General features: G+C 51.0%; 1 annotated feature.

The window, feature by feature from the left end:
• Positions 10,869–11,163: an enhancer, noted in NCBI's record as "tiled region #5458; K562 Activating DNase matched - State 12:CtcfO, and HepG2 Activating DNase unmatched - State 4:PromP". NCBI's record gives its function as "activates a minimal TATA promoter and a strong SV40 promoter by Sharpr-MPRA in K562 cells, with weak activation in HepG2 cells {active_cell/tissue: HepG2 | K562}" and the evidence as "EXISTENCE:reporter gene assay evidence [ECO:0000049][PMID:27701403]".

Raw genomic sequence — 11,886 nt, 5'->3', positions numbered from 1 at the left:
CCTTCAGGGTGCTGAGACTAAGAAGTAGAAAGAAAAGCCACACCCCCTAAAAAGAGCTCTAGAATCTTAGAAAGTCAGAGCTGCAGGTGACCCTGTCCAAGCTCTGAGGCCTGGTGCTGTGTTAGCAACTGTTCCAGCATGAAAATCCAAACTATCATCTCTGGTCTTTCTCTGTGGTGACTTCATCTACTGAACCCCAAGTATGGCTCACATAGGGGACTGCATTCTGTCTGAGGCTCCCCTCACACAGCACTGCCCCCGACAGTTGCTAGAAGAGCTCCTAGATGAGTCATACTTGTGACAGCTTTTGGGTAGACCAGAAGCCTGTGCCCAAGGAGGGCTCCCACAGGTGAGTGGGGCTGCCTCACCCTCTGTTGCCTGCCTCTTCCCCCTGGGCAGGGCACCCTCAATAGGCTCTTTGTTCTCAGGACTCACCCCTGCTCCACCTAGTCTTTAACTGTCCCACAATCTGGGCTCAGGGCTTTACTTAAACCACCAAGCCCTTGCATCAAACCACAAGAAGAAAACCACACGCCTTTGGAATTGCTCAGTGCTCTCTTGTTTTTTTTCCCTTCCTTTCTTCTTCCCTCCAGCACACACACACACACACGCGCCCACACACACACACACACACACACAGCAGTTTTCCCATCAAGCAACTGTTTCCTGGTGTCATGAGACAGGCTGTCCAGGACTTGTTTTGGGAACGTGTGAACACAGGCGTAGCCATAGTCCTTACGACACTCAGGGGACCAGCCAGCCCCGTCTCTTGGGCCTGGGGCCCTCACCTCAGCTGCTGTTGGTGCTGTCTTGAAGCGCAGCAGACCTGGGACGGGAGCTGCCTTGCGTTTGTAGGCTCTCTGGACCAGGTGGCAGTAGCCCAGCCTTGAGCCCAGTGGTCTCGGTCAATGCCAGGCCTTGTGGACTTCTGGGTCCACTGAAGATCATGAGGTCAATGCTGGCAGCCTGGCCCCTTTGAGCTGCCCACACACAGTGGACTTCTGGCCCTGGGAACACAGGCTCCCCTGTCTGGGACTGTGGAGTCCTTGGCAGAGTGGGAAGGGGAAGGCAAAGTTGGTGAAGTGAGGGAAGGGTGAGGGTTCTATCAGTTTTTCTGGGCCCTCGGTCTGATTTCTCAGTGCAGATGAGGCAGCCCCAAAGTACCTTCCAAGAGAAAGGAGATGAAGCACCTTCAAAACACAAGTGTCCCAAGGCACCAGCCCTGCCATCACAGTGAGGATGAGAGATGGGCTCTTACAGGGTCACAGATTCCGATGCTTCCCAGGCCAGGCAGGTAATTCAACATGGAAAAGGCCAAACAGGTTATGCGGTACATGTTAAGAAAGACACTTAAATTAAAATGTTTTAATTTAAAAACATTATTTTAGGGCTGGGCACAGCACTTCGGGAGGCCGAGGTGGGAAGATGACTGGAGGCCAGTAGTTCGTGACCAGCCTGGGCAGCATAGCAAGACCCCACCTCTACAAAACACACACACACACACACACACACACACACACACACACACACACACATACACACACAAAACGTTCTTTTAGCTAAATAAAATGTATTTTTGATCAGATGCAGCCTCATGGCTGTGAGTTTCCAACCCTCTTCCCTACAATCCACAGTTCTGCTATTTAGAACTGTAGAATAAAGGTTCATAAAGAAAACTGTCAGAGTCCCTTAAGGGCTTAAAACACAGCACTGGCTTGGGCGCTGGTAGAGCTGTGGTTAAAAACACAGCCTTTGATGTCCAGCTCTGATAAGCATTTCTCATTGGCTTCATTTTAGCTGTATGAGTATTGAACACGTTATTAAACCTTGCTAAGTTTCAGTTTCCTCCTCTGTAAAATGGGGAGTCTATCTTTTAGCATAATGAGGCACCTCACATAGTAGGTGAAGCTTAATAAATGACCGCTGTGATGTGCTGCACCCACTTCCCCTAACCCCACACAAGGAGCTGGATGCCTTTTGCTGAATAGCAATGGTTCGGTGGACTGAGGGTTAATGCTTCTGTGGCTCTGGTCTGTGGCAAGAGGGGGTGTGGAAGTCAGAGCCAAGGTCAGACCTTCACAGGCCATTTCCCTGTGAACACAGAACAAATACTCTCTTTGCAGCTGGGCTGTTCATTTTAAATTCAGCAAAGGAGGGCTCGTTGGGGAAGTTTTGCCCTGGAGTCTTGGAATTTCTCACCAGATCTCTAGTGTTCACTTCCAGCTGCTCCCACTTTGCCCACCTTAGTAAGCAGTGGCCCATTTGCCCTTGATCTTAGCAAAAGAAGCAGATCTGCCCAACACCATGGCGTCTGGGGGTGGGGAACCCATCCGTGGCAGTGCCTTGGAGGCGTTTGAGAGAGGGGTTGGGCTAGGCTTCCTGAAATCGCCTTCTCCCACAGGGCTGTGCACATGAACTTGCAGACTCCTTGAAGGTGGAAGCGACCTGGTCTCTCTGGATCGCCACAACTCTGAGCACAGCACCTTGGATAAACAATGTGCTTAATGCATGCTGGAATCATTCTATGAAATCTAGACTTGAAAGCAGAAAAACAGGGACAGAATTTTCACTTTTTAAAAAGAAATGTTCATTTTATAAAACGTTTCCCCACTGAAGCCCTTAAGTAGAAACTTCCTTAATTACCCAAAATGAATTTTTGAGTAGCTCAAACCTAAGCTGATGGGCTGAATTGCCCTGTCCTGTCGCTGGCTCCTTCCTTTCCCCACCACCTCTCTAAATTCAATCCCATCCACCCTCAAGCACAGTGAGTATTGTTGAGACTTGCTTTACAGACACCCTGTTCAGTGCTGTGAACATGATCTCATTCCATCACCATGGCCACGGCATGGCCAGATATATTATTTTCCTTCTTTTATAGATGAGAAAATACAGGCTTGGATAATTCAAAACTACTTGTTCATAGGAATAGCAGAGTCAAGACCCAAAACCCAGCCTCAGGGCCAAACCAATGCTCAGAAATGTCTCTAAGGAAACCCCAACTCCAAAAAAGTCTTCCTGACCTTCCCCACCTCTCCTAGACAGACAGGAATGTCCCGTCTCTCTGGTTTCTGGTGCTCTCCTGGTCTTCTCGGACGGACGTTCTGCCCTGGGGGCAGCCACCTGGGTGTTTGCTGCCTCACCCTTCTGCCGCCCTTTCTCCCCAACTGCTCACGCTGGATTGGAATTGCCTGGAGAGTGAGCAACAGGTCTAAGTCCCCTTTGCATTCCCAGCAGTGCCAGGCTCGGTGCCAGCCCCCAGGGGGCTCTCTGGGTATTTCAGTTCATTTGATATATTATTTGTCCCAGAAGAAGGCACTGAGGCCCTCCAAGGAAGAGGCTGACAGGCCTCAGACAACCCCAGAGGTCTCCAGGGGAGCTCAGGCCGTTCTGTTCTAGCCTGGGCAACACTGGAAGCTGCCCTCTCTAGGGCTGTTCCACTCCCTGAGAAGATCTAGGAACAGGCAGGGAGGCTCCCAAATTGCCTCATGGTTCCACAGCCTCCGGCGCGTTCCACCTCCCTGGGCCCTAAGGAGCTGAGGCCCCAGACAGCCCCTTGGGCATGATCCTGGCCACTGGCCATCCCCCCATCTGCCCTCTCTCAGCCAGTGCCACCCACTCTTCTGGGCTGTGGGCCTGATACTGCTTCCTGCATTCCTGCTTACAGACCTGCTGAAATAGAATGAACAGAGTCCAGCCAGTCCTCAGCCTGATCACAGCAGGCCTGTCTGAGCATGTGACCTCTCTTCTTCCCCTTTCTTTGTCAGTCAAGCAGAGGTAATAACAATAATTAACCTGGAGCCCCTGATGGGTCCTCCTGGACCTCACACCCAAGGTCTCCCTGGATTATGCTAACAGTCCCAAATAGAAAATGAAGGTTGTTATTATTGTTCTCATTGTACGCCCAAAGGAACTGAGGCTTAAACTAGGTAAAGACAGAGGCACAGAGACAGCCTGGAGCATCCACCAGAGACAGGGACCTTGGGGTGGGGAGAGCTTGCCTGTGCTGAGAGCTAGGAGTGTCTTGTCCCCAGGCTGGCAGTGTGGGGCTTTGCAGCCTATCTTGGCAGGCACCAGAGCACTCCTGGAAGAGGAAGGGGTGGCAGGGACAAAAGCTACAGGGCTGGGATGAAGGTATCCCTGCCTGATCACCTGCCCCAGATCCTACCCAGGGACCCCCTATTACGTACGAGGCATGGGAGGTAAATGGCTCCCCCAGCTCTGCCCCAGACCAGCTCACAGCTGCTGTCTGGGCTGGATGAGCTTGGCAGCCAGTTCCTAGAGGGGTCTCTTGCCAGCAGCACCTATATCATCTAGTGAACCTAAAGGCACATTCCTGTAGAGTGCAGACTGAAGACGGACATCTGAGCTGCTGCCTTGACTTTCCTGTTCTGTGTCTCTTTTCTCATTTTGTTGGGGGGAGGGGTGTGGCCAGAAGAAAGGGGTAGGAGAGGTATAGACAGGATGAAGGGGTACTGTTATGCTTCTCTCTGCTGTTGCGGCCCTGCATTTGGAATATTCCCAGTGATACAGGACGGGGCCAGGGAAATGCTGGGAAGGGAAGGACATGGTCCCTGGCAAGGGCTCCACCCCCAGGCCTGTGCCAACGGACCTAGGTGAGGACAGGCATTTCTGTTTTCATGCCCAAATGTTGTATTTCCCAAGACCACCCTGGCCCGCCATGCCCCCATCCTGTGCCTATAAAACCCAGAGACCTGGCTGGGTGCGGTGGCTCACACCTGTAATCCTAGCACTTTGGGAGGCCGAGGCAGGTGGATCACGAGGTCAGGAGATCGAGACCATCCTGTAACATAGTGAAACCCTGTCTCTACTAAATATACAAAAAAAATTAGCCAGGCGTGGTGGCGGGCGCCTGTAGTCTCAGCTATTTTGGGAGGCTGAGGCAGGAGAATGGCGTGAACCTGGGAGGCGGAGCTTGCAGTGAGCCAAGATCGCGCCACTGCACTCCAGCCTGGGCAACAGAGCGAGACTCCGTCTCAAAAAAAAAAAAAAAAAAAAAAATCCCAGAGACCCTAGCCGGTAGAGACACAAGCAGCTGGACTTCGAGAGGAGTGGAAGAACACACTGACAAGCACCAGCAGACACCAGCAGGCCAACGACCAGCGGAACAAGGCACAGTTAGCCCAAGGGTAGTTGGAAGAGAGCCTGGCCGCCAAGCGGCCTGACTCCAGGGGAAAACCACCTGCCCACCCCATCTCCCTTCTGGCTCCCCCATCTGCTGAGAGCTACTGCCACTCAATAAAACCTTGCACTCATTCTCCAAGCCCACATGTGATCTGATTCTTCCGATACACCAAGGCAAGAAGCCCCAGGATGCAGAAAGTCCTCTGTCCTTGAGATAAGGCAGGGGGTCTAATTGAGCGGATTAACACAAGCTGCCTACAGATGGCTAAACTGAAAGAGCACCCTGTAACACATGCCCACTGGGCTTCAGCAGCAAACATTTACTCCTAGATGCTGCCATGAGGTTGGAGCCCCACAGCCTTCCTGTCTGCATGCTACCCCTAGAGGTGTGAGCAGTGGGGCACTGAAGAAGCGAGCCACACCTCCATCGCACTCCCTGAGAGGGGAACAAGGGAACTTTTCCTGTTTCACCAGTTCAAACTACCTATGGATCAGAAGCTCCAGGAGAAATGAAATTTTACAACTCTGGGAACCCACTGCCCACCAAGATAGATGAGCCTTGTGGGGCCTCCACACAGCCCAGCCCATGCTCTGAATTAGGCGCCTCCTTTCCTGAAGACCCTGCCTCCTTCCCAGATGCCACTCTACCCATCCATCCTCACATGAGTCATGTGTCAGCCATGAGGGGCTGTGCTGGAATCCTCCCAGCTCTGCTGCATGGAGGTGACTCTCACTATACATCTTGGGTGTGACAGGCCTTCAGAATGAACTTGACAGGGCTTGGTGGCTGTCTGAGACTTAGAATCCTTTCACTTATGCAGAATCTTAGGCTGCAGAATCTAGCTGAGCAGATGCGGCCATTTTTGCTTAGGGCCCCTTCTGCATACATTTCCTCTACACTTAGGGTCTTGGATGTCCCAGTCTTGCGGGCTACGGAATACTAACTAGTGGATGTGAGGTATTCATTTCTATCCAACATATATTTATGAGGAGTCTGCCACTGTACTGGGATCTGAGGATGCAAAGGTGGTCCCTGCATAGGTATATGGCTGGGGCAGACCCAGAAGCCAGGCGGCAAGCATACCCTCTCTGTTATGCCCCTGGGTGGCCTTTCCTGTAATTAACAATGAGAGGATTAACCATGAGAACTCCACCAGGGTGCTAGAGCACAGTAAAGGGCTAGTGGGATGTTAATCAGTCACTCCTTCTGAGACTTTCTGAATTGGTTCAATTTTGAGAACCCAACTCAAATACCATCTTTGCTGTGACACCTTCCTCCCATTCATTCCTTTAGCCAGCAAGTAGTTAGAGAATGCTAAAACTGATAGGTATTGGTAAAAGGACAAAGGAGTGTGGAACACGGCTGTGTACATCTAGGATATTGCATTCTAGTAGGGGAGACTCCTTTATTCTCCACAGATTGATTGAGGGCCCACCGTGGTCTAGGCATTGTGCTAGACACAGGGCATATGGCAACGACCCAGACCAACAGGGGTCCTCCCCTCCCGGTGCGTTAGACCTGGTGAGGGACACAAACATGTTGCAGCTAGCCCCACTGGTTGTGACCATCGTGGCATCATGGAGGGATGGAGTGCAGGGGGTGATAGAGCACACAGAAAAGCTTCCACACCCTGGCCAGAGCAGGTGTCCCCGAGGGAGTGATTCCATCTGTGCCCAAATATACACTCAAAGGTGGCCACAGCTCAGTACCACCCAGGGGTGCGATTAGTGCAATAGGAACTGCGAAGGGGAGATCCTCTCCAGCTGCGCAGAAGGCTTCCTGGAAGAAGTAGGCACTGAGTTGAGCATTCAAGCTTCCTGAATGACTGTAATCTACCCATGTCTGGAACTGAAAAGGCACTCCCAGCAGTCTCATCAAGTTAACTCAGTTGTTCATGCTGCGACTACATCATTGTGCTCCATTCTGCTCTGTTGCCTGTGTCCCCTGTGCCCCTCAGCATCATAACCCTCTTGAAGCCTCTGGGGACTGAGGCTTCCTGTATCCCCTTGGATCAGCTTGGTGGTGGGGAGTGGACAAAGTGCACAGCCTGGGAGGTTGGGTCCACGAGCAGATGTTCCTCAACACCCTTTTATGTCCCTCTCCAGGACACACTGTACCCAAGGAAAATCAGTGCAGTTTCTTGGGGGGAGGGATTTTTAAGTGGGTTTGGTAAAAGCAGAGTCCAGGCTCTGCCCCAGAAGGATCTTTAAATAGAGCAGAGGAACACTGTCAGGAGAGAATTCGCTTACGCTTTCTATTATTCATTTATATTGGGAACATTAACGGAATTAAGCTTTGAATAAAAAGGACTCTATTTTCAGAATAGTCCTGAGGACAATTAAAGGGCGGCATTTCCCTCCAGAGAGCTGCCATCAAACCATATGGCTTCATTTTGGAAGCCACCAAGTGTTCAAGTAATGTGGTGTAGAAATAAAAAGTGAAAAGAGGTGCTCCTGCCTGCAGCGGGAGAGAACTCAGGCTGGCCACCCAGCCTGTTGTGACTTCATCCTGCCTGGGGCCAATTCCCAGGTGCCTGGAGGTAGAAAGGTGGGCAGTGGTGGTGTAGGGAGCCTGGAGTGCTGTCTCCCTTACTGGAGGTCTTTTAGATGGTGCCTCCAGTTTTTAGGTTAAGAGACGTCTTTCCTGGATGTTCCTTGCCAAAGCTATTTCCTCTGTTAGGCAAGCCAGCATCCTTCACAGATCCACACTGATTTTGAGCACCTATTTCATGACCAACAGAGTTCTAGGAGCTGGAGACACAGCAGGGAGCAAAACAAAACACCTGTTCACACCGCACGTCGGGGAGGCAGACAGTTAGCCAAGTCAAATCTGCACGTACGGGTTAGTGATGGCAAGGCCACTGAGAAACATAAAGCAGACCAGGGGATAGAGAGCGATGGGGCAGTGTTCTGTCACCTGCGGGGAAGTCAGGGAAGGCCCCTCTCATTATGAGACCCTTGGGCAGAAGCCTGAAGGAGGCAAGGCTGACCAGGCAGCTCTGAGGGAAGTGCTCCCGGCCAAGGGAACAGCAAAGGCAAAGGCCCTATATTAGTCCGTTCTCACACTGCTGTAAAGAACCACCTGAGACTAGGTAGTTTAGGAAAAGGTTTAATTGACACATAGTTCTACAGGCTGTACAGGAAGCATGACTGGGAGGCCTCAGGAAACTTACAGTCATGGTGGAAGGAGGAGGGGAAGCAAGTATGTCTTACGATGGCAAAGCAGGAGAGAGAGCGAAGAGGGAAGTGCCACACTTTCAAACAACCACTTCTTCTGAGAACTCCCTCACTATCACCAGATTGGCAAGGGGGAAGTCGGCCTCTATAATCCAATCACCTCTCACCAGGCCCCTCCCCTGACATGTGGGGATTACAGTTCGAGGTGAGGTTTGGATGGGGACACAGAGCCAAACCATATCAGGCCCCAAGGCAAGAGAGGGCTGGCATCCTGGAAGAGGGAGCTGGGAGCAGCCACAGAGGTGTGTGTGTGGGGGTGGGTGGTGTGGCGTGGGGGGTGGGAGTGGTGGGAGCTGAGGTCAGGCTGTAGGACCTGGCAACCTGTGCAGAACACCTTGGATTTTACTCTCAGTGGCATGGGAAGCCATTGGAAGGCTCTGAGCAGAGGAGAGACATGATCTGATGGGTGCTTTACAATATCACTCATCAGCCATCATCACCTTGGGTGCTGCATGAAATGAGACTTGAGAGAAGGGCAGGGGCTGGAGCATGAAGAGTGTTAGAGGCCAGATGAGGGAGCTGGGCCTTCATCATGAGGTCAATGGAGAGCCATGGAGGAGTTTAGAGGAAGGAGTTAGTCCTCATCCTTATCTTGGAATAGAAGGCTCTAAGCACAGAGAAGTGAGGTCACCCTTCCCGGAACACACATAACTGGATAAGGTGGCTCTGGGATGGAAACTGAGGTCTTCAGATTCCTATCCTCGTTACTATGAGCTTTCTCCTGAATAACAACAGGAGACATTTACTGGGCATTTTCTCAGATACCAACCCACTTATCTTTCAAAACAACCCTGGAGGTAGGCAATATTATGACTCTCATTTTACAGACAAGGACCCCAAGGCACAAAGGGGTTAAGGAACTTGTCTGAGGTTACATGGCTAGAAAGTGGTAGAGCCGGGATTGGAACCCAGGCAGCCTGGATCAGGAGTCCGTGGAGTCAACCAGTGTGCTCCAGGGCCTTGCTAAGTCCTCCAGCCATGTGAATAGATGGGTGGGAGAACCGGGACTAGTTTCTACGGTGTTTGCGGAGCCGAGTCAGCTCTGTACCTGCCTGTACTCAGACCCCCATACTTTTCCTGCATCCTTAGTCCATTCCCACTGAGACCCCCACTGCAGTAGACATCGAAGGAACAAGAAGCGCAGCGGAAAATTAGACGCAAGAATTGCCTCCCCAGGAAGATATTCAAAGCTGCTTCTTAACTTGTTGCGCCCCCAGATCCCTCAGATCTTGAGTGCCCTGGGGAGCCGCCGTGCCCTCTCGGCCATAAGCAGAACACAGAGCGGCGGCCTCTTGTGCGGTTTGATCATGTGAACCATCCCGGTTGAAAAAATGAAGGGTATCGAATTAGGAATGAAAATGATTCTTTCCCCAAGCTCTGAATGCACTCCAAAATCCCTAGGGGGAGGCTTGGGTTTGTGTTGGCAAAGGAGGAGCTGGTGGAAATGTCTGCAACTCAGTCTCACGCTTCCTCCTTCTCCCTGACTGATTGCCTTAACAGGCGCCGAGGCTCTCCAGCCGACAGGCCACCAGAGGGCACCCACAGACAGGGCTGGCAGTCTCGGGCGGGCAGGCGGGTTAGCGTCCTCTGAGAAGGCCGGGGTCGGATGTCGTGGCACTGCAGAGAGAAAAGCATACACAGGAGCCGAAACACACTGAGCAGGCCCAGGACGCGAGAACGTGGATCTGGAGCCACACCCAGCCCGTGGCCTTCCCATGCAATGGCTGTGACAACTCTCCGGTTCTGTGGCCTATGCACCAAAACAATACCTGTGGGCTCTGTCTCAGTGTCAAACTGGGATTATGTTTTTGTTTCCAAGATTAATTTGAAAAAGGTGACTGGGCATGGTGGCTCACGCCTGTAATGCTAGCACTTTGGGAGGCTGAGGCAGGAGGATCCCTTGAGCCCAGGAGTTCAAGACCAGCCTGGGCAACATAGGGAGATCCTGTCTCTATTTAAAGTTTTTTTTTTTTTTTAATTTTGAAAAAATAATTTAAAAAGAAAAAAGAAAAAGGCAAGTCCTCTGTAGATGTGTAAAGACCACAGCTAGAAGTGACTACAGATACTACTTTATTAACCACCATGAGGGTCAACTGACCCAGGCCCCCAAAGTTAATTATCCAAACCCTGGCGACATTGGCTAGTGGTGGTTTTAGCCCAAACATACACATATGTACCCACATCTCCCATGTGTTTATCACACTGAATGAGAATTACCTCCTTATTTACATGGGGACCTGAAGAGCAGGAACCATATCCTGTGAATCTCTGTTCCCAGTTGAACTTTAATGTATGTCAAACATATATAGAACATTTGGTTCCATTTCTCCAGCAAAGCCTGGAAGACAAGAAACATGATGCTTTTGTGGATTCCAAGTAGAGAAAACCTTCCTGTTCTGTGGCCTGGGATTATTTCCAACTAGGCAGGTCCATGATTTTAGGACGGCGGTCAGCAAACTATATACCTAAGCCAAATCTGGTCCGTTGCCTGTTTTTGTAAGTAAAGTTTTATTGGAACACAGCTATGCACATTCATTTACTTACTATCTATGTCTGCTTTTGTGCTACAGCAGCAGGGTTAAGCAGTTGCAACAGAGACCATATTGCCCCACCTACACTGAATGTTTGCTCTCTGGCCCTTTACAGAAACAGTCTGCTGACCCCTGCTGGAGGAGGACACAATAGCAGCCTTGGGATGTGGCTGGCAGGAGAGCTCCTCCTTGCTTCACTGTGGTGATGGTGGGGCCAGCAGAGCCCCCAAGGGATGCTAGCCATGCCTTGGGTGTGCTATGGGTATGTGAAATCTGCTTCGTGGGGACAGCCTTGCTGAGAAGCCAAGGGTCCTGCACAAGTCCTTCCAGTTCTTGATACCCAGCTGCAGTGCTAGAGTACCTGTACCCTAGCACAGCCTGGGAGGGTCTGGACATCTTAGATCAGCTTCATTCTCTCTCTCTCTCTCTTTAAACATTAAAAAAAGAACATTTTATTGAGATATAATCCACACATTTAAAGCATAAACTTCAGTCCCTTATCTCTTAACCTACTTGTCTTGTGACTCTTTTCCCTTTCGTTTCCTTAAGCTACACCTGTATAAACTTGTTCCCTGCAAAGATTTCAGTGAATTTATTCACAATCAGGTGTAAGTGACGAATAATAGTAGGATCCCTAGAATCTCAGGATGACCCATCCCATGTTGTATGCTTTTGTCTCAGGTAGAGTTTTTCCCAAGTACACACTGGGATGGAGTTTGGGGTACAGAAGAAGACATCAAACAGGGAGGCAGACCAAACAAAGCCTTAGCCAGCCTAGCTCTTGCCTAGATGTCCAGGCTTCTGTGCTTGTCCAGACCTCTCTCAGTCACCAGATGCAAGTGCCCCAGGAGAGGAGGCTCCCTGCAGGGGAGGCCAACCCTGAAGAGCTGACCCTGGAGGCTTTCTGCGGACCACACTCCCCACAGCTGGATAGCGAGCCCTTCCCTGAAGGGGATCTAGAAGCTGTGTTTCCATG

This window comes from Homo sapiens, chromosome 18, assembly GCF_000001405.40.
Source record: "Homo sapiens chromosome 18, GRCh38.p14 Primary Assembly".
NCBI classification, from domain to species: Eukaryota; Metazoa; Chordata; class Mammalia; order Primates; family Hominidae; genus Homo; species Homo sapiens.
This window is presented reverse-complemented; position numbering and strand designations above follow the sequence as displayed.